This window comes from Homo sapiens, chromosome X (genome assembly GCF_000001405.40).
Source record: "Homo sapiens chromosome X, GRCh38.p14 Primary Assembly".
Classification (NCBI taxonomy): domain Eukaryota; kingdom Metazoa; phylum Chordata; class Mammalia; order Primates; family Hominidae; genus Homo; species Homo sapiens.
The window spans coordinates 136,832,435-136,856,383 of record NC_000023.11 but is presented as its reverse complement, the minus strand read 5'-3'; the positions used below and the strand labels follow the sequence as shown (position 1 = coordinate 136,856,383).

Here is a 23,949-nt window from a genome sequence, read left to right as displayed (position 1 = left end):
TCACCCTGGCAGGAGTGCAGTGGTGTGATCTCTGCTCATTGCAACCTCCGCCTCCTGGGCTCAAGTGATTCTCATGACTCAGCCCCCTGAGTGGCTGGGATTATAGGTGTGTGCCACCACGGCCGACTAATTTTTGTATTTTTAGTACAGATGCAGTTTCACCATGTTGGCCAGGCTGGTTTTGAATTCCTGATCTCAAATGATGTGCTCATCTGGGCCTCCCAATGTGCTGGGGTTACAGGCGTGAGCCACCACACCTGGTCAACGTACCAATTTTTTTTTTTTTTTTTTTTTTTTGGAGATGGAGTCTCGCTCTGTTGCCCAGTGGCACGATCTCAGCTCACTGCAAGCTCCGCCTCCCGGGTTCACGCCATTCTGCCTCAGCCTCCTGAGTAGCTGGGACTACAGGTGCCTGCCACCACGCCTAGCTAATTTTTTGTATTTCTAGTAAAGGCGGGGTTTCACTGTGTTAGCCAGGATGGTCTCGATCTCCTGACCTCGTGATCCGCCTGCCTCGGCCTCCCAAAGTGCTGGGATTACAGGCATGAGTCACTGTGCCCGGCCTAATGTACCAATTTTAAAAAACCCATTGTTTCTTTTTGTCTTCCCTTGATAGAATATAATCTTCCTAAGACGAGGGGTCTTTGCCTGTTTTGTTTATTCCTGCATCCCCAAAGCCTGAGATGATGTCTAGAACATAGTAGGAGTTCAACAAATATGTGTTAAATGAATGAATATGCTTCACTTCTCATAGTTGTTCTTCCAAAAATATCTCTGCCTAACACTAACTATTTTGCATACATCTTCAAGTGTGCTGCTTTATGGCTACCCCAAAGAAAGACAACCAAAAAAGTTTTGTGAATAGTTGCATTCAACTCTTAAGTACAGAATGTCTGGAATCTAATCTCCAAATTTTCTAATACATAAACTGAAAATGTTAAAATGTATCCGTAAACATTCTATATAAAATATTGGGAGAAGAGAAAACAAGAGTATGATACAGTAAAAGGAGAAATTCAGGTAGAGACTATAACTCTTGTTTAGGTAACTGGTCACAAGCAATAATTGGTAATTATAATATTCTTCCTAAAATATCCATTTTGTTATTTTTTTTCTACCTCAGTCAATGGTGGCATTTTACTTGGTTTACTTAACCTTCAATTCTGAGGGGTCTAAGCCTGTATGATGTTGTAATAATCTTCCTTTAGCTTTTATTGTTTTTTGAGACAGCATCTTACTCTGTCGCCCAGGCTGGAGTGCAGTGGTGCGATCTTGGCTCACTGCAATTTCCGCCTACTGGGTTCAAGTGATTCTCCTGCCTCAGCCTCCCGAAGATCTGGGATTTCAGGTGCCCGCCACCATGCCCAGCAAATTTTTTGTATTTTTAGTAGAGACGGGGTTTCACCATGTTGGCCAGGCTGGTCTTGAACTCCTGACCTCAGGTGATCTACCCATCTCTGCCTCTCAAAGTGCTGGGATTGCAGGCGTGAGCTGCAGCGTCAGGCCCAGACTCTGTTCTAAGTACTTTTCATTAACATATTTGCTCCTCACAGGAACTCATCAGGTAAATACTATTATTTTCCTCATTGAATGCGTGAGGAAATTGTTACATAGATAAATAATGCAAGGTCACATACCTATATACTGATAGACTTAGATTTCAAGTCGTGTTGTTCCAGAAATCATGTTTCTAACTAGTATGCTACACTGCCTGTCATGTATGTTAATACATGTAATACTTTATGAATCATTTAAGGTGACTTTTAGTCATCCACACAGAAATGTCACATGTAGAATTAGGTGTAAGTAATGAGGTTGCTGGAGTTGTATGGGTTGGAGGTAAATTTGGGAGTCATAAGCATGTGGATGGCACTATAAGGTATGAATATCGAAGTGGATGAGATCACTCAGGAAGAGTGTAACTAGAGAAGTCCAAGGACTGAATGCTGGCATGCTCTAACGTTTTAGAGGCCCACGAGGTGAGAATGTAGCATGAAATCTAAAAAGGAATGGGCTCAGAGGTAGGAGGAAAATCAGGATAGTGTGGTTTCTAGGAAGCCAAGAGAAAGTTGCAAGAATGACTGTTGAATGCTGCTCAGAGGTGAAGAAAAAGGAGTGAGCATTCGACACAACATGCTACATGCGTTGGGCATACTAACACACAGTTAACAAAAGCCATTTCAGGGGGATGGAAGGCGCACAACCCTATTTGAAGTGGGTTGAGGAGAGAATGGCACAGAAGGAAAGACAAGAACTAGAGTGAGCTATTTCGAGAAATGTTGCTGTGGTGAAGGACAGAAGAGTAGGAGGATGTGGGGTCAAGGGAGGTATTTTTTTAAAATGGGAGATACTAGAATGTCTTATTTATTTATTTATTTTGAGATGGAGTTTCGCTCTTGTTGCCCAGGCTGGAGTGCAATGGCGTGATCTCGGCTCACTGCAATCTCTGCCTCCCGGGTTCAAGTGATTCTCCTACCTCAGCCTCCCGTAGCTGGGATTACAGGTGCACGCCACCACGCCCAGCTAATTTTGTATTTTTAGTATAGCCAGTGTTTCTCCGTGTTGATCAGGCTGGTCTCGAACTCGTGACCTCATGTGATCTGCCCACCTCGGCCTCCCAAAGTGCAGGGATTACAGGCATGAGCCACCGCGCCCGGCACTAGAATATAGGTTTGTGGGACTGTTCCAGTAAAGGGGGAGAAATTGACACATGAGAATGAGGGGATGACAGTATTAATGAAGTCTTTGGATAAGGGAAGATGGAAGCCAAAAAAGTCACAGGGCGACGTTAAGAGCAGAAGTATTTCATCCACCACACTATAAGGGAAGGAAGGCAAAGAATGAGGGTGGACAAGCAGGAGATTAGTAGATTAGGTTATGGGAAAATAAGGAAATTTACTTACTTATTTATGTATTTATTTATTAATGAGATGGATCACCTTCTGTTCCCCAGGCTGGAGTGCAGTGTGCGATCTCGGCTCACTGCAATGTCTGTCTCTCGGGTTCAAGGGATTCTCCTGCCTCAGCCTCCCGAGTGGATGGGATTACAGGCGCCTGCCACCACGCTTAGCAAATTTTTGTATTTTTAGTAGAGACAGGGTTTCACCATGTTGGCCAGGCTGGTCTTGAACTCCTGACCTCGTGTGATCCGCCTGCCTTGGCCTCCCAAAGTGCTGAGATTACAGGCGTGAGCCACTGCACCCTGCCAGGAAACTTTTAATATTGTATCTTTTTTCTAGTTATTTAGAGGCAATGTTATCTGCTGAAAGTGAGGAGGAGTGAGAAGTGGAGGTTTGAGGAGAGATAATAAATGAGACAGTCATCTGAAAAGTTGGAAAGTGAACAAACTAGAGAAGTATTTGGTAGTTTTGAGTCCCATTTGAGATTTGTATCATGAATTTATAGAGAAACCAGTTAAGCATGCTTACATATTTTTCTCTAGCAACACTTACAGCTTGAGTGCAGGTCGTGGTCCCACAAAGCAAGTATACAATGAGGGAGAAGTAACTCCTGGAAGACAAGTTGATGTACCATGAGAAGGTAGAATGGATATGGGACAGTAAAATCAACAATAACTATGCACTACACTATGCTGTCCACATACTACCCCAGTTCCTTATTCTTTGTGGCCAAATGTCTTAAAAGAGTCACTTATGCCTGCTGTCTGCAATTCCTCCTCCCACATTCTGTTTAATTCATTTCAGTCAAGTTTTCACTCTCATCATTCCACCGAAACTGCTCTTGTCAAGGTCACCAGTCACCTGCGCATTGTTAGATTCAATCCAAATTTTCCTCTTCCATATTTGACTCCATTAGTCACTCCTTCCCTGATAGTATCCTAATTTTAGGATACTTCACTTTTTCTTTTACTCCATTGATCACTACTTCAGTCGTTTGCTGATCCTCTTCCCTAACCTTTTTTTTTTTTTTTTTTTTTGAGACGGAGTTTCGCTCTTATTGCCCAGGCTGGAGTGCAATGGCACGATCTCAGCTCACCACAACCTCCGCCTCCCGGGTTCAAGCAATGCTCCCACCTCAGCCTCCCAAGTAGCTGAGATTACAGGTGCACACCACCACGCCCAGCTAATTTTTGTATTTTTAGTAGAGACAGGGTTTCACCATGTTGGTCAGGCTAGTCTTGAACTCCTGATCTCGTGATCTGCCTGCCTTGGCCTCCCAAAGTGCTGGGATTACAGGCATGAGCTGCCATGCCCGGCCTTTTTTTTTTTTTTTGATACAGGGTCTCACTGTGTCACCCAGGCTGGAGTGCAGTGGTATGATCTCTGCTCACTGCAACCTCCGCCTCCTGGGCTTGAGGGATTCTCTTCCCTCAGCCTCCTGAGTAGCTGGGATTACAGGTGCCCACCACCATGGCTGGCCAATTTTTGTATTTTTAGTAGAGATGGGGTTTCATCATGTTGTCCAGGCTGGTTTCGAACTCCTGGCTTCAAATGATCTGCCCAACTCGGCCTCCCAAACTGTTGTGATTATGGGCGTGAGCCACTGTGCCGGGCTGACTTACCAATTTTTAAAAACCCATTCTTTTTGTCTTCTCTTGATAGAATTATAATCTCCATAAGATCAGGGATCTTTGCCTGTTTTGTTTATTCCTGTATCCCCAAAGCCTGAGATGATGCCTAGAACATAGTAGTAGTTCAGCAAGTATGTGTTAATTGAATGAATATGCTTCACTTCTCATTTGCTCTTCTAAAAATACCACTGTCTAACATACTTTAACTATTTGGCATACATCTTCAAGTGTACTGCTTTATGGCTACCCCAAAGAAAGACAACCTAAAGTTTTGTGAATAGTTTTATTCAACTCCAAGTGCAGAATGTCTGCAATCTTATTTTTCCAATACATAAACTGAAAATGTTAAAATGTATCCCTAAACATTCTATATAAAATATTGGGAGAAGAGAAAACAAGAGTATGATACAGTAAAAGGAGAAATTCAGGTAGAGACTATGACTCTTGCTTAGGTAACTGGTCACAAGGCAATAATTGGTAATCATAATATTCTTCCTAAAATATCCATTTTGTGTGTGTGTGTATATATATATATATATATATATATATATATATATATATATATTTTTTTTTACCTCAGTTAATGGTGGTATTTTACTTGGTTTACTAAACCTTCAATCCTGAGGGGTCTAAGCCTGTGTGATGTTGTAATAATCTTCCTTTAGCTTTTAAAAAACATTTTGGCTGGGTGTGATGGCTCACACCCATAATCTCAGCACTTTGGGAGGCCAGTCTCAGCACTTTGGGAGGATAGCTTGAGGCCTAGGCAACATAGTGAGACCCTGTTTCTATGAAAAATAAAATTAGCTGGTCGTGATGGCACTTGCCTATAGTCCTAGCTACTCAGGAGACTGAGGCCGGAGGATTGCTTGAGCCTATTAAGCCTGCAGTAAGCTGTGATCACACCACTGTACTCCAGCCTGGGTGACAGAGCGAGACCCTGTCTCATAAAACAAATAAATAAAACCATTTTTATTCCACCACAAAAATGAGCATGAAAAAGATTTTAAAAATTGAACTGTAACACACAGAAAAGTAAACAAAGCAACTTCCATTTCTGGAAATGATGGGATAATCGATACTGCACCTACTCTCTCCCCATAAACAACTGTAAAACTAACCAACATATAATGAGGCAACTATTTTGAGACATTGCACAATAAGTACTCTAGGAGAACAATCCTTGAGAAACGAAAGCCACACGAGGAGAGCCCCATGTTCACTCAGTTCTCTGACTAGGGGCAGTTTTCGGATTGTAGCACAGGAAGGTGAAGTTCAAACACGGCACATTGTTCTCACTGGACAAAGGAAGCAAAGATCACAGTTTGGGTTTTGAAGAGGAAGGACATAGACAGTGTCCCCCGGATGTTGGTGTGGGTGTTCCCTGTGGGTCTTTTTAAAAGTTTTTATTTTATTTTTGACATGGAGTCTCACTCTGTTGTCCAGGCTGGAGTGCAGTGTTGTGATCTCGGCTCATTGCAACCTCCGCCTCCCAGGTTCAAGTGATTCTCCTGCCTCAGCCTTTCAAGTAGCTGGGACTACAGGCGTCCGCCACCATGCCCAGCTAATTTTTGTATTTTTAGTAGAGATGGGGTTTTGCCATGTTGGCCAGGCTGGTCTTGAATTCCTGACCTCAGGTGATCCACCCACCTCGGCCTCCCAAAGTATCGAGATTACAGGCATGAGCCACCATGCCCGGCCCCTGTGGGTCTTTTCAGAAAATTTAAATTTGTGAGAGAAAAACATCTGAACATCAGGTACAGTCTGATCTACAAAGATTCAACAGTATGTCACTGCCCAGGTGTGGTAGCTCACATCTGTACTACCAGCACTTTGGGAGGCCAAGGCAGAAGGATCACTTGAGGCCAAGAGTTTGAGACCAGCCCTTGAAACATAGTGAGATCCCATCTCTACAAAAAATTTAAAAATTAGCTGGTGTGGAGGTACATGCCTGTAGTTCCAGCTACTTGGGAGGCTGAGGTGGGAGGATTGCCTGAGCCTGGGAGTTCGAGGCTGCAGTGAGTGTGGTTGTGGCTCTGCACTCCAGCCTGGGTGACAGAGGGAGACCCTGTCTCAAAAACAAAAAACCCGAAAAAATAAAAAAACAAAACCCACCACCACAACAGACAGACCCCCAAAACAAAAAAAACCTGTCATAACTCATTCCTGGACTACTCTTATGTAGTTTGCAGGAGAAATTCCAGGTGGAGCATCAGCTGAACATTTATCTAAATTCATAAAGTCATGTAAACTGAGTATTACACAATACATCATGACTACAAACTACAAAATAGGCAATTTAGGCCCCTTTTTATTTATTCATTTATTTATTTATTTTGAGACGGAATTTTGCTCTTGTCACCCAGACTAGAATGCAATGGCACAATCTCAGCTCACTGCAACCTCCACCTCCCGGGTTCAAGCCATTCTCCTGCCTCAGCCTCCTGAATAGCTGGGATTACGGGCGTCTGCCACCATGCCCGGCTAATTTTTTTGTATTTTTAGTAGAGACAGGGTTTCACCATGTTGGCCAGACTGGTCTCGAACTTCTGACCTCAGGTGATCCACCTGCCTCAGCCTCCCAATATGCTGAGATTACAGATGTGAGCCACTGTGCCCGGCCAGGCTCCTTTTTAAAAATGAAAAAAAATTTCTATTACAGGCTTATTTTGAGCATTTTCAGTTAGATGATAGCTTTATTTTTACTCGCAATTGATAGCAACAGAATACCTTCTCAAGTATCTATAGGCAAAATATGTTACTTGTGTGATGTTTGCATCCTGAAGTATACTTCGACATATGTGAGTTCACATGAGATAATGAAACCACTGTGACAAGATCCTGGCTGATGATCAAGACTTGGATACTTTTCATATTTAAAACATTTACAGTAGGGAGCCGGGCGTGGTGGCTCACGCCTGTAGTCCCAGCACTTTGGGAGGCCGAGGCGGGCGGATCACAAGGTCAGGAGATCAAGACCATCCTGGCTAATACGGTGAAACCCCGTCTCTACTAAAAATACAAAAATTAGCTGGGTGTGGTGGCGGGTTCCTGTAGCCCAGCTACTCGGGAGGCTGAGGCAGGAGAATGGCGTGAACCCAGGAGGCGGAGCTTGCAGTAAGCTGAGATTGCACCACTGCACTCCAGCCTGGGCGACAGAGCGAGACTCCGTCTCAAAAAAAAAAAAAAAAAAATTTACATCAGGGAAAAAAGCAAGAACATACAGAGAAGCAACACCATTTCTTTTCTTTCTTTTTTTTTTTTTTCCAGATGGAGTTTCACTCTTGTTGCCCAGGCTGGAGTGCAATGGCGTGACCTCGGCTGGCTGCAACCTTCACCTCCCGGGTTCAAGCGATTCTCCTGCCTCAGCCTCCCGAGTAGCTGGGATTACAGGTGTGCGCTACCGTGCCCGGCTAATTTTTTGTATTTTTAGTAGAGATGGGGTTTCACCATATTGGTCAGGCTGGTCTCAAACTCCTGACCTCAGGTTATCCACCCACCTCGGCCTCCCAAAGTGCTGGGATTACAGGCATGAGCCACCGCGCCCGGCCGGACACCATTCTTTTTCAATGAAACAGTCTAATTCCAGAGAATGAGACTTCCAGTTTGAATGCAAAGTGTGTGGTCCCAAAGTTGAATTCTTTTGAACCCAAGTACATGCCTGCGGTTGGGAGGAACACTTAAAGATGAAGCAAGTTCGGAGGAAAGTGTTAACTGAACTACAGAGATGGTCACTGATAAAACAAGTTCTTAGAAGTTCTCAGACACACCCAGAGGTGAAGGGCAGCCAAAACTATCAACACAATGGAAAAATGAGCTCACCCAACTGCACACACAGAGCTTCTAGAAGGGTTAACAGCTCTTGCCATAGGTTCCTGGTTGTAGTTTACAATATCTGCCTTTACCACCCTCTGTGACTGTTCTATTTCTGCTTTGTTTAATTTGATTCCAAGGATTTCAGCAACAACTTTTTGAAAACACAGGAAGACAGAGTCTCTTGCCTTGGCTGAAACAAAGTGGCTATTAAAACCATTTTCCTGGCAAAACCGTAAGTGTTTTTCAGGTTTTACTGTTTGATTATGCTCCAAATCAATTTTATTGCCCACTAAGGTAACCAGCGGCTGAGTTTCTGACTCTTCACTCACTTTCTTCACTAATCTTCTAAAAATTCTCAAAGCTTTGATAACTTGTAATACCATATACCAAGATGATTTCCTGTGCTCCATAGATGGATCTGTCCAACATTTTGCTTCTTATTGTCCGGCCTCCTGTATCCCAAACTAGAGAGTAACATTCAAGTTTCCTGGCAATGTTATCCTTCTCAAAAGAAATCCAGTCCTATAGTTTGTACTGGTTCCTGAAAGTTTTTTGAGCAAAATCTGTAGCTAAGGAGGTCTTCCGGGAGGTGCTGTTCCCTAGCACGATGATTTTCAGTGCTGGTCCTGGCTCTCTTCCTTAGAGTCCTACATGATGTCCCAGGAACCATGCCTGCCCCGCTCCCCCGGGTGGAGGGAGGAGGGGAAGGAGAAGGTCTCCAGGGGTGAGGGAGGAAGAAGGGAGGGTAGTGGGGACAGTACCTCACTTGTCTGCTCGATGTCAGCAGTGGCTGGAGAATCTCTCGCCAGGTGCCATCTTGCCAATCTCTTCTCCCTCTGCCCTCTGTGGGTCTTTTGTTGAGGGCTGGGCTGTACATGCATAGTATGAGATTCTGTGAGGCCTAGAAAAGAGCAGCTGCTATGGGGTTGAAAGAAGAATGGAGAAGGCCGGGTGCAGTGGCTCATGCCTGTAATCCCAGCATTTTGGGAGGCCGAGGTGGGTGGATCAGTTGAAGTCAGGAGTTTGAGACCAGCCTGGCCAACATGGTGAAACCCCATCTCTACTGAAAATACAGAAATTAGCTGGGTATGGTGGCACATGCCTGTAGTACAAGCTACTTGAGAGGCTGAGGCAGGAGAATGGTTTGAACCTGGGAGGTAGAGGTTGCAGTGAGCCAACATTGCGTTATTGCACTCCAGCCTGGGTGACAGAGCAAGACTCTGTCTCAAAAAAAAAAAAAAAAAAAAAAAAAGAATGGAGATACTAGAGGTTGCACAGTGCTGAGAAATATGAGGTTCTGACCTAGCCAGAGTGGAGAGAACTTTTTAACATCATAGGCATTCAATTGAAAAACCACACCTTAGGGGAAAGAACCACCTCCTAGAGTAAAGACTACTCTAGGCAGGGTGTGGTGGCTCACACCTGTAATCCCAGAACTTTGGGAGGCCAAGGTGGGCGAATCACGAGGTCAGGAGTTTGAGACTGGCCTGGCCAATATGGTGAAACCCCGTCTCTACCAAAAATATAAAAATTAGCTGGGTGTGGTGGCAGGTGCCTGTAGTCCCAGCTACTCAGGAGGCTGAGGTGGGAGAATGGCTTGAACCTGGGAGGCAGAGGTTGCAGTGAGCCGAGATCACGCCACTGCACTCCAGCCTGGGTGACAGAGTGAGACTCCATCTCAAGAAAAAAAAGAAAAAAAAGATGAGAAGAGAACAGATGGAAAATTAGAGAAGGGGAGGCCAATGAAAGGTAGAGAAAGGAAAGAAAGGGAAGAGGTGCACAGAAAAAAAAAGGTGGGGCTGGGCGTGGTGGCTCCCACCTGTAATCCCAGCACTTTGGGAGGCCGAGGTGGGCGGATCATGAGGTCAGGAGATCGAGACCATCCTGGCTAACATGGTGAAACCCCGTCTCTACGAAAAATACAAAAAAATTAGCCGGGTGTGGTGGTGGGCACCTGTAGTCCCAGCTACTAGGGAGGCTGAGGCAGGAGAATGGCGTGAACCTGGGAGGCAGAGCATGCAGTGAGCTGAGATCACGCCACTGAATAGAGCCCCAGAGACCTGTGGGACAATAACAAAAGAAGTAAATAACACATATCGCAAGAGTTACAGAATAAGAAGTGAGAGAAAATGTGGGGTTGAAAATATATTGGATGAAGTAAGGCTGAAATTTTCCTAAATTTTGTGAAAGGTATAAACTTACAGATTCAAGAAGTTGCGAATGAATGCCAAAGAGGATAAACTCAAAGAAATACATGCTAAGATACTTTTTTTTTCTTTTTTTTAGAGGAGTCTCACTCTGTCGCCCAGGCTGGAGTGCAGTGGCGTAATCTCGCCTCACTGCAACCTCCGCCTCCCGGTTTCAAGTGATTCTCCTGCCTCAGCCTCCCGAGTAGCTGGGATTACAGGCACCTACCATCACACCCAGCTAATTTTTGTATTTTTAGTAGAGATGGGGATTCACCGTGCTGGCCAGGCTGGTCTTGAACTCCTGACCTCAGGTAATCCCCCCGCCTCGGCCTCCCAAAGTGCTGGGATTACAGGCATGAGCCACCGTGCCTGACCTGCTAAGACACATCTTAATGAAACTTTTGAAAACTAAAAGGAAAAGTCTTGAAAGTGGCTACAGAGAAATGATGTGTTGTATATAGGGGAACACCAATTTGAATGGCAGCAAATTTTTCACCTGAAACAATGGAGGTCAGAAGGCAGTGGCACAATATTTTTCAAGTTATCTCAAGAAGATAACTATCAATTACAAATTCTATCTCTGGTGACGATATCCTTGAGGAATGAAGGAGAAATAAAGACATTTTTACACAAAGAAAACAGAGAATTTGATGCTAGCAGACCTACTCTCAAAGAATGGCTGATGGAAGTTCTCCAAACAAAGGAAATTATAACAGAAGACATGGAACTTCAAAAAGAAAAAAGAACAATGGAATAGGTAAAAGTAGGAATAAGAATAATAGACTATCTTCAACAGTTTTAGAAATATGTGGTGGTTGAACCAAAGTCTTATCATCTGATATGGTACTCAGTGTTTGTAGAGGAAATGTACATTGTCACTACATACACTTTGCATATAATTATATTTTTAAATAGATGTAATACATAAATATGTTTTAGGAGTGGGGAGGGTAAAGAGACCTAAATGGAAGCAAAGTTTCTGCACTTCATTCAAAATATAAATTGTATAAATTGTTGATATCACTAGACTGTGACTAGTTATATATTTATATTGTGATAGAGTGACCACTAAGCCTATACAAAGTGATATGTTCAAAAATACTATAGCTAATTCAAGATATAATTCTACAGAATGTTTAAGAAACTCACATGAGGCCGGGCGCGGTGGCTCACGCTTGTAATCCCAGCACTTTGGGAGGCTGAGGCGGGCGAATCACCGGAGGTCAGGAGTTCGAGACCAGCCTGGCCAGTATGGTGAAACCCCATCTGTACTAAAACTACAAAAATTAGCCGGGCATGGTAGCTCATGCCTGTAATCCCAGCTACTCGGGAGGCTGAGGCAGGAGATTCAGTTGAACCTGGGAGGTGGAGGTTGCAGTGAGCCGAGATGGCGCCATTGCACTCCAGTCTGGGCAACACAGCAAGACTCTGTCTCAAAAAAAAAAAAAAAAAAACATGAAAGAAAGTAAAGAAAAACAGGAATGAGAAACTGAGAAACAGAAGGGACAGAAAAAAAATAAATGGCAAACATAAGCCCTAACACATCAATAATTATTATGAATTTTAATGATCTGAATACACTAATTGTAATACAAATTGGAAGAGTAGATACAGAATGTAATCCAACTATGTGCTATGTACAGTAAGCTGACTTCAAAACATGGTTGACATAGGTAAGTTGAAAGTAAAAGGATAGAAAAAGATGTGTCATAGAAGTATTAATATACTAATGAAATAATCAGGAGTGTATTAATATCAGATGCAGTAGACTTCAAAGCAAAGAAAATTACTAGGGATAAAGAGGGGCATTATTTATTGATGAAAGGATCAATCTAAAGAAGACATAATGATCCTTACTTTTGTATGCACCAAACAACAAAGCTTAAGCTACATAAATAAAAACTGATAGAATTAAGAAGAAATTTAAAAATCCATAATTGTAGATGGGATTTCAGTATCCACACCCAGTATTGACAGACTACTGTAAATATAATCAGCAAAGATATAGAAGAACTGAAGAATGTCATCAACTAAGAGGATCCAATTGACATTTATAGAACACTTTACCCAACAACAGAATACACGTTACTTTCAAGTGTCCATAAACTATTCACCAAGATAGAACCATATCCTGGGTCATAAAACTCAATTAAAGAAAAATTCAACTCAGAGCATATTCATTTTCTGTTGCTGCTATAACAAATTACCACATATTTAGTGGTTTAGATAATTACAAATATCTTACATTTCTGTAAGTCAGGTGTCTGACATGGGTCTCAGGTTAAAATCAAGGCACCAGAAGAGCTGCATTCCTTTCTTTTTTTTTTTGAGATGGAGTTTTGCTCTTCTTGCCCAGACTGGACTGCAATGGTGCGATCTCGGCTCACCACAACCTCTGCCTCCCGGGTTCAAGCGATTCTCCTGCCTCAGCCTCCGGAGTAGCTGGGATTATGGGCATGCCCCACCATGCCCAGCTAATTTTGTATTTTTAGTAGAGATGGGGTTTCTCCATGTTGGTCAGGCTGGTCTCGAACTCCTAACCTCAGGTGATCCACCTGCCTCAGTCTCCAAAGTTCTGGGATTACAGGCATGAGCTACTGTGCCTGGCCGGCTGCATTCCTTTCTATAGGTTCTAAGGGAGAATCCATTTCCTTACTCAGTTGTTGACATACTTCAATTCCTTGTGGTTGTAGGAATGAAGTCCATATTTACTTGTAGACTATAAACTGAAGATGTTCCCAGCTTTTAGAGGCTAACAGATTCCTTGGCTTGTGTCTCGCTTCCTTCATCTTCAAAGTCAGCAATGGCAGATTAAATCCTTGTCATGCTGCAACTCTTTTTTTTGCTTCCCTCTTCCACTTTTTTTTTTTTTAGACCCAGTTTCGCTCCTGTTGCCCAGGCTGGGGTGCAGTGGCGTGATCTTGGCTCATTGCAACTTCCACCTCCCGGGTTCAAGCGATTCTCCTGTCTCAGCCTCCCAAGTAGCTCTGATTACAGGCATGCGCCACCACGCCCTGCTAATTTTGTATTTTTAGTAGAGATGGGGTTTCGCCATGTTGCTCAGGCTGGTCTCGAACTCCTGACCTCAGGTAATCCACCCACCTTGGCCTCCCAAAGTGCTGGGATTACAGGCGTGAGCCACCTTGCCTGGCACCTCTTCCACTTTTATGATTAGATTGGGCCCATGTGGATAAACCAGGGCAATCTCCTATTTTTAGTAAACTGATTAGCATCTTTAATTTCATCTGCAATCTTAATTCCTCTTTGCCATGTATCATAAGATATATACAGGTTCCAAAGATTAAGATGTAGACATCTTTGGGTGGCCATTATTCTGCCTACCACACACAATATGTCCTCTGACTGTAATGGAACCAAACTGGAAATCAGTAATAGAAATACATACCACCACGCCTGGCTAATTTTATTTTTGTAGAGATGGGGTCTCGCTGCTCAGGCCAGTCTGGAGCTCCTGGGCTTATGTGATCCTCTTGCCTTGGCATCCCAAAGTGGTGGGATTATAGGCATGAACCACTGCACCCGGCTTAATTTACGTTTTATAGTGTGCAATTCAATGTTTTGGGTTTTTTTTTCTTTTTAAAGCATATTTACAGAGTTGTGCAACCGTCACCACTATCTAACTTAAGAATATTTTAGCCAGGCATGGTAGGTAGCACGTGCCTGTAGTCCATGCTACTTGGGAGGCTGAGGCAAGAGGATTGCTCGAGCCCAGGAGGTTAAGGCTGCAGTGAGCTATGATCACACCCACTGTACGTCAGTCTGCTTGACAGAGTGAGACCTTGTTTCAAAAAAAAAAAATAAAATTTCTATCACCCTAAAAAGAAACCCCATACTTACTCTTAGTCACTTGCTATTCCTTTTTGTCCCTGGGCCCGGAAATAACTACGTTCTGTTTCTATGAATTTTCCTATTCTGTACTTGCATATAAATTGAATCATACAATATTTAGTCTTTCATGACTGGCTTCTTAGAATGTTTTTGAAGTTCATGCACATTGAGGTACACATCAGTACTTCATCTCTTGGTCAAATAATATTACATTGTATGAATGTATCACATTTGCTTTGTCCATTCATCAGTTGATAGATATTTGGGAGTTACACTTTTTGTCTATGATGAATAATGCTGCTGTGAACATTCCTGAGCAGGTTTTGGTAAGAACCCCTGTGTTTTCAGTTCTTCGGGGTATATACCTCAGAGTAGAATTGCTGGGTCCTAAGGTAACTAACTCATTGTTTACCATTTTGAGGAAATACAAAACTATTTTCCAAAGTGGCTATACCATTTTACAATTTCATGAAAGAGAAATTTATAATACTAAATGATGCTTATATTAGAAAAAAGGAAAGATCTCAAATTAATAATCTAAATTAATAATCTAAGTTCCTGATTCAAGCAACTAGAAAAAGAAAAGCAAATGAAACCAAAGGACTGGACGCAATGGCTTATGCCTGTAATCCCAGCACTTGGGGAGGCTGAGGCAGGAGGATTGCTTGATCCCAGGAGTTCAAGACCAGCCCAGACAACTAGTGGGACCCTATCTCTACTAAAAAAAAAGTTAAAAAATAAACCAAAGAAAGCAGAAGAAACAGTGCAAGAAGAGAAATCACTGAGGCCGAGCGTGGTGGCTCATGCCTGTAATCCCAGCACTTTGGGAGGCCGAGGTGGGAGGATCACTTGAGGTCGGGAGTTTGAGACTAGCCTGGCCTACATGGTGAAACACTGTCTCTACTAAAAATACAAAAATTAGCTGGGCGTGGTGGCACATGCCTGTAATCCCAGCTATTTGGGAGGCCGAGGCAGGAGAATAGCTCGAACCCGGGAGCCGGAGATTGCAGTGAGCCGAGATTGAGCCACTGCATTCCAGCCTGGGCCACAGAGTGAGACTCCATCTCAAAAAAAAAAAAAAAGATCACTTGAAAACAGGAAAACAATAGAGAAACCAATAAAACAAAAATTTGTTCTTCTAAAATGTGGTACATATACACAATGAAATTCATCCATAAATAAAGAAGAAAATCTTGTCATTTGTAACAGCATGGATGGAGCTGGAAGATATTATGTTAAGCAAGATAAGCCAGGTACAGAAAGACAAATATTGCATGTTATTACTCATATTTGAGAGCTAAAAAAAAAACATTGAACTCATGAAGATAGAGAGTAGAATGATGGTTACCAGAGGCTGGGAAGAGTAGTGGGAAGAGAGGATAAAAAGTGATGGTTAATGGTAGAAATACAGTTAGATACAAGGAATAAGATCTAATGTTCACTAGCATGATAGGGCAACTATAGTTATCTCTAATTTATTGTATATTTTGAAATAACTGAAAGAGTGGAATTTGGAATGTTCAAAGGCTTGAGCTGATGGATACCTCAATTACCCTGATATGATTATCATACATTGTACACATATCAAAATATCACATGTATCCAATAAATAAGTACAACTATTATGTATCAATAACAAAATTAAAAATGTTAAAATCTATGTTGCAAAAAACCTGGTTATTCTTTTTTTTTTTTTTTTTTTTTTTTTTTTTTTTGAGACAGAGTCTTGCTCTGTCATCAAGCTGGAGTGCAGTGGTGCGATCTCGGCTCACTACAACCTCTGCCTCCCTAAAACTAGTTATTCTTAAAAAATGAAAATAAAATTGATAAACCTGTAGCAAGACTGACAAAGATAAAAAGAGAGACAACGTAAGTACCACTATCAGGATTCAAACAGTGATATCACTACAGAGTCTATAGTTGTTAAAAAAATGAAAAAGAAAATATTAGGACCAACTTGACACTCATAAACTTGACAACTTAGAAGAAACTGGTCAGTTTTTCCAAAACCATGCAGATACCCAAACTAAATCAAGATAAAACAAATTGAGCCAGGCGCAGTGGCTCATGCCTGTAATTCCAACACTTTGGGAGGCTGAGGGGAGGTTCACTTGAGCACAGTAGTTTGAAAACAACAACGGCTGGGCGCGGTGGCTCGTGCCTGTAATCCCAGCACTTTGGAAGGCTGAGGCGGGCAGATCACCTGAGGTCGGGAGTTCGAGACCATCCATGACCAACATGGAGAAACCCCATCTCTACCTACCTAAAATACAAAATTAGCCGGGCGTGGTGGTGCATGCCTGTAATCCCAGCTACTCGGGAGGCTGAGGCAGGAGAATCGCTTGAACCCGGGAGGCAGAGGTTGCAGTGAGCCGAGATGGCGCCATTGCACTCCAGCCTGGGCAACAAGAGTGAAACTCCATCTCAAAAAAAAAGCAACAACAACAACAAAAAACCCCCAAATCATCAGAATAGTCCTTTAACCATTAAAGAAAATGAATTCATAACTAAAAGGCTTCTAAAAAAGAAATCTCCGTGCTTATATCACTTTGTTCACTGAAGAATCATCCCAAACATTTAAAGAATTAACATCAGTATTACACAATCTCCCCCCAGAAATAGAAGAGGATGGAACACTTCCTAGCTCATTTTATGAGGCCACTATTACTGTGATCCCAAAACTGAAGAGAGCACAAAAGCAAAAACTATAAACTAATGTCTCTCATAATAAATGTGGAAACAAAAATCCTTAATAAAATATTAGCAAATCAGGCTGGGCCCAGTGGCTCACACCTGTAACCCCAGCACTTTGGGAGGCCAAGGCAGCCAAATTGCTTGAGGCTGGGAGTTCGAGACCAGCCTGGCCAACATGGGGAAACTCTGTCTCTACTAAAAATACAAAAGTTAGCTGGGAGTGGTGGTGCACGCCTGTAATCCCAGCTACTTAGTAGGCTGAGGCAGGAGAATTCGCTTAAACCTGGGAGGTGGAGGTTACAGTGAGCCGTGATCATGCCACTGTACTCCAGCCTGGGTGACAAAGCCAGACTGTCTCAAATATATATATATGTGTTTGTGTGTGTGTGTGTGTGTATCTCAAATGCAGCAACACACAAATTATATACCACAACTGTGATGATTGATTTTGGGTGTCGACTGGTTAAGGAATTCTGGAAAACTGGTAAATAATTCATTATTCTTAATGTTTCATTAAGCACCGAGCCCATCCCTCTTCTGCTTAAAGGGAAACTCAGGTAGTTTGGCATTTGATTAGAATGATTTGGCTGCTCCAGGTGTGTCTGTGACGGTGTTTCCAGAGGAGATTGGCATTTGAGTTGGTGAACTGAATGGACAAGATTTGCCCTCATGTTGGTGAGCACCGTTCAATCAGCTGTGAGCCTGGGTGTAACACAAGGTTGGGGGAAGAAAAAAATTCTTGCTCTTTCTTCTGGAGCCAGGTCACCCTTCTTCTCCTGCCCTTAGATTTAAGAAATCCAGTTGTTTCTCTGGCCTTTGGGACTCACACCAGCAGCCACCTGGGCTCTGGGGCCTTGAGCCTCAGGCTGAGCATTACACCATCAGCTTCCCTGGGTTGGAGGTCTTTGAACTGGAACTGAGCCATGCCACTGGCTTTCCTGGTTCTCAGACTTACAGATGGCCTATTGTAGGACTTCTCAGCTTCCATAATTGAGTGAGCCAATTCCCCTAATAAATCCCTTCTCATATATCTCTTTCTATGTATATTCCATTGGTTCTTTCTGGGGAACCTTGACTAAAACAGGTTAAGAGATTTAAACCAGTAATGCAAGACTGGCTCAATATTCAAAGATCAATTAATGTAGTCCACCATATCAATAGACTAAGGAAGAAAATAGGCTGGATGCGATGGCTTACACCTGTAATCCCAGCACTTTGGGAGGCCGAGGTGGGCAGATCATTTGAGGTCAGGAGTTTGAGACCAGCCTGGCCAACATGGTGAAACCCTGTCTCTACCAAAAACACAAAAATTAGCCGGGCATGGTGGCACACACCTATAGTCCCAGCTACTTGGGAGGCTGACATGGGAGGATCGCTTGAGCCTAGGAGGCGGAGGTTGCAGTGAGCCAAGATTGCGCCACTGCACTCCAACCTGGGCGACAGTGAGACCCTGTTCCCCAAGCCCTCCCATCAGCCCCCCACCAAAAAGAAAATAATATTATATTGATTGATGCAGAAAGCATATACAAGATTATTCAAAATTTTTCATGAAAAGGAACAGTCTCTAAAATACTTAAAACAAACTTGAGAAAGAATAAAGTAGGAGAAATTACTCTACTTGATGTTAAAGGCTAATACATAAATCCTATAATCTGGACAATGTGGTATTGGTTGAGGGGTAGCCAGCCATAAAGATTAACAGGACAGAATAGACAACCCAGAAATAGACCCACACAAATATGCCTAAGACATTTGTTGTTTTTTGTTTTTGAGGCAGAGTTTCGCTCTTGTTGCCTAGGATGGAGCGCAATGGCATGATCTTGGCTCACTGCAACCTCCGCCTCCCGGGTTCAAGTGATTCTTCTGCCTCAGCCTCCCGAGTAGCTGGGACTACAGGCATGCACCACCACACCTGGCTTGTTTTTTAGTAGAGATGGGGTTTTGCCATGTGGGCCAGGCTGGTCTTGGACTCCTGACCTCAAGGGATCCGCCTGCCTCAGCCTCCCAAAGTGCTGGGATTACAGACATGAGCCACCACGCCTAGCTGCCTAAAAGATTTTTGACAATGGCATAAAAGTAACTCAAGGGAGGAAGAATAGCATTTTTAACAAACAGTGCTAGAACAATTGGACATCTAGGTTAAAAATAAAAAAAGCTAATCTTAACCTAAACCTCATGACTTATACAAAATTAATTCCAAATGGATCTCATATTTAAATATTAAGTGTAAAATTATAAAACTTTTGGGAAAAAAAGTATGACAAAATCTGTTGGACCTAAAGACAGGTGAAGAGTTTTTGGATTTGACACCAAAGTGCAATCCACAAAGGAAACAAAATGGATAAATTGAACTTCATCAAAATAAAAAAATTTTGATCTGCAAAAGACCTTGTTAAGAGAATAAAAAGACTAGGCCAAGACTGAGAAAATATTTGCAAACCACATATCTGACAAAAGCCCTGGATCTATAATATATAAAGAGCTCTCAAAATTCAACAGTTAAAAAAACAAGCATTTCAATTAGAAATTGAGCTAAAGAGGGCCGGGTGTGGTGGCTCACACCTGTAATCCCAGTACTTTGGGAGGCCGAGGTGGGTGAATCACCTGAGGTCAGGAGTTCGAGACCAGTCTGGCCAACATGGTGAAACCCTGTCTCTATTAAAAATACAAAAATCAGCCGGACGTGGTGGCAGGTACCCGTAATCTCAGCTACTCGGGAGGCTGAGGCAGGAGAATCGCTTGAACCTGGGAGGTGGAGGTTGCAGTGAGCCGAGATCTTGCCACTGCATTCCAGCCTGGGTGACAGAGCGAGACTTGGTCTCAAAAAAAAAAAAAAAAGAAAAGAAATTGAGCTAAAGATATGAACAGACATTCACTGAAAAGGACAACGGATGGTAAGTAAGCACATAATAAGATGGCCAACATCATTAGCCATTACAGAAATGAAAATTAAAACTGTAGTGAGATATCGCTATATAACTATCAGGTTGGCTAACATTAAAAAAAATAGTGACAACCTGTATTATTCCATTCTCACACTGCTATAAAGATACTGTCTGAGACTGGGTAATTTATAAAGGAAAGGGGTTTAGTTGACTCACAGTTCTGCATGGCTCCGGAGTCCGCAGGAAACTTACAATCATGGTGTAAGGGGAAGCAGGCACATTTTACGTGGTGGCAGGTGAGACAGTATGTGAGAAGGAACTGTCAAACACTTATAAAACCATCAGATCTCATGAGAACTCACTCACTATTGTGAGAACAGCATGGGGGAAATACCCCCATGATCCAATCACCTCCCACCAGGTCCCTCCCTCAACACGTGGGGATTATGTAGATTACAATTCGAGATGAGATTTGGGTGAGACACAGAGCCAAACCATATCAACACCATATGCTGGTAAGGACTTACCAAGCTGGATCACTCATACATTGCTGGTAACAATGTAAAAGTGGTATAGCCACTCTGGAGAATATTTTTGTAGTTTCTTAAAAAATTATACCTCACTTACTGTATGATACGGCAAGTGCACTCTTGGGCACTTATCCTAGAGAAATGAAAACTTAGGTTCATAAACCTGTATGTGAATGTTGAAAGCAGCTTCCTTCCTTCCTTCCTTCCTTCCTCCCTCCCTCCCTCAAGCAGCTTCCTTCCTTCCTTCCTTCCTTCCTTCCTTCCTTCCTTCCTTGTTTCCTTCCTTCCTCCTTCCCTCCCTCCCTCCCTCCCTTCCTTGACAGAGCGTAGCTCTGTCACCCAGGAGGCTGGAGTGCAGTGGCGTGATCTTGACTCACTGCAACCTCTGCTGCCACCACCCCTGGCTAATTTTTGTATTTTTTGTAGAGACAGGGTTTTGCCATATTGGCCAGGCTGGTCTCACTCCTGACCTCAAATCGATCTGCCCACCTTGGCTTTCAAAAGTGCTGGGAGTACAGGCATGAGCCTCTGTGTCTGGCTGAAAGCAGCTTTCTTTATACTAGCCCAAACTGCAAATAACCCCAACATACTTCAATGGGTGAATGGTTAAACAAAATGTGCTATATCCATATCATGAAATACTACACAGCAAAAAAGAATGTACTATCAATACATGCAAATACCTAGATAAATCTCCAGAGAATTATGCTGAGTGAAAAAGTCAACCTCAAAAGGTTGCATAATGTATGATTTCATTTAAATAACATTCTTAAAATAACAAGATTATAGAGATGGGGAACAGATCAATAGTTGCCAAGGAGTGGGGCATGGAGGGGCTGAATGTGGCTATAGAGACTGAATGAAGGAGCATTATCATGATGGAACAATTCTACATTTTGATTGTGGTGATGATTCCATGAATCTACACATGTAAGAAACATGTAGATTAACACCTGGCCTCTCATCAGAAACAATGGATGCCAGCAGGCAGTAAGATGATATATTCCAAGTGCTTAAAGAAAAATCTTTCAAGCAGGAATCTATATGCAGCAAAAGTATTCTTCAAAACTGAAGGCAAAATAAATTCCCAAACGAATGATAAAATATATTGCTAGCATAACTGCCTTACAAGAAATTAGAAGAATAAACCCAAAAGAAATGCCAAAAGAAGTTCTTTAGGGAGAAAATAATGAACACTAGAGATTAAATCTAATCCACAGAAACAAATGAAAAGCACAAGTAAAAGTAATTATGTAGGCAATTATAAACCGTGTAAGGTGTATGTATCTCCACACACACACACACACACGGAGTTTTCTAAAAGTTCATGGAATTGCAATATTATGAAAAAACTATACATGGATTCCAAAAATTTTAGCATCCAAATAAACTTGCACTAACTTGTTATAACATACCTTAACAACCTCTAGTTTGAGGTATGAAAAGGATAAGACATCAGTTTGGAAATAGCCTCTATCAGAGCAACATGACTTCTGCCAAATTTGAAGTTAGAACAAACATTATGGTGAAGCTTGGGTGGAAGAATGGTGAAATCATTGATGCATTATGAAAAGTTTGTGGGGACAAAGCTCCAAAGAAATCAGCAGTTTACAAATGGATAACTCATTTCCTTTTTATTTTTTGAGACAGGGTCTTGCTCTGTCACCTAGACTGGAGTACAGTGGCATGTTCATGGCTCACTGAAGCCTCAACCTCCCAGGCTCAAGTGATCCTCCTACCTCAGCCTCCCTATTAGCTGGGACTACAGGTGTGCACCACTATGCCCAGCTAATTTTTGTATTTTTTGTAGAGATAGAGTTTCACCATAATGCCCAGGCTGGTCTTGAACTTCTGCAAGTGATCTGCCCGCCTCGGCCTGCCAAAGTGTTGGGATTGCAGGCGTCAGCCACTGTGCCCAGCACGGATAACTCATTTTAAGAAGGGATGAGACAATGTTGAAGATGAAGCCCACAGTGGCAGACCATCCACATCAGTTTGTGAGGAGAAAAGTTGCTCCTTCAGTTGGTGCTCTTTCAATTAAGGCATGAGTTCATCTTGCTCATGCCCTAATTGAAGGAGTACCTAATAATCACCAATGATCAGCGACAGAACCAATAGCCAACATCATAGACCCTTCAGTTGGTTCCGCTCACCCAATTCTGACTGAAAAACTAAAGTTGAGCAAATTTTCTACTTGATGGGTGCCAATACCATTGTAGCCAGATCAGCTTCAGACAAGAACAGAGCTTTCAAAGGAAATCTTAAATAAGCGGGATCAAGATTTTGAAGCACTTCTTTGAAGACTTGTAACAGGATATGAAACGTTGCCTTACCAGTACAATCCTGAAGGCAAAGCACAAAGCAATGGCTACCAACAGTTGGAGTGGTTCAGTCAAAGCAAAAGCACAGTAGTCAAGAACAAAGGTCATGGCAACAGTGTTTACAGATGCTCAAGGCATTTTGCTTGTTGACTTTCTGGAAGGCCAAAGAACAATAAAATTTGCTTATTATGAGAATGTCTTGAGAATGTTAGCCGAAGTTTTAGCAGAAAAACACCTGGGAAAGCTTCACCAGAGAGTCCTTCTTTACAATAACAATGTTCCTGCTCATCATTGTCATCAAATAAGGGCAATTTCGTGAGAATTTTGACGAAAAATAATTAGGCATCTGCCTTATAGTCCTGATTTGGTTCCTTCTGACTTCTTTTTGTTTCCTAATCTTAAGAATCTGTAAAGGGCACCCATTTTTCTTCAGCTAGTAATATAAAAAAGACAACATAGACATGCTTAAATTCCCAGAACCCTCAGTTCTTTAGGGATGGACTAAATGACTGGTATCATCCCTTACCAAAGTGTCTTGAACTTGATGGAGCTTATGTTGAGAAATAAAGTTTATATTTACTTTTTTTTTTTTTTTTTGAGATGGAGTTTTGCTCTTACTGCCCAGGCTGGAGTGCAATGGCATGATCTCGGCTCACTGCAACCTCCGCCTCCCGGGTTCAAGCGATTCTCCTGCCTCAGCCTCCCAAGTAGCTGGGATTACAGGTACCCGCCACCACACCCAGCTAATTTTTACATTTTTAGTAGAGACGGAGTTTCACCATGTTGGCCAGGTTGGTTTCGAACTCCTGACCTCAGGTGATGCATCTGCCTCGGCCTCCCACACTGCTGGGATTACAGGCATGAGCCTCCATGCCTGACCTTACATTTTTGTTTTTAATTCCATTTTTCCCACAAACTTTTTGAAGTTCCTTATATGTGTATGTGTACAATTAATCTTTTCTTCTCTTAATATGTTTAAAATGATTCCATAAAACTGCAATTATAAAATCATATTCTTAGACTTTTAACATATAAAGATGTGATATATGCGATTTTTAAAATTTTTTAATTTTTTACTTTTTGAGACAGAGTCTCACTCTGTTGCCCAGGCTGGAGTGCAGTGGCACAATCTCA

The 23,949-nt window shown here is 42.4% G+C and overlaps 1 pseudogene, besides 1 other annotated feature; it reads right to left on the bottom strand.

The window, feature by feature from the left end:
* Nucleotides 6,259-9,187, bottom strand: RAB28P5 (RAB28, member RAS oncogene family pseudogene 5; annotated as a pseudogene).
* Nucleotides 21,172-21,673: an enhancer, noted in NCBI's record as "NANOG hESC enhancer chrX:135916870-135917371 (GRCh37/hg19 assembly coordinates)". NCBI's record gives its function as "activates a minimal SCP1, AML or CMV promoter by ChIP-STARR-seq in naive H9 embryonic stem cells {active_cell/tissue: H9 hESC(naive)}" and the evidence as "EXISTENCE:reporter gene assay evidence [ECO:0000049][PMID:30033119]".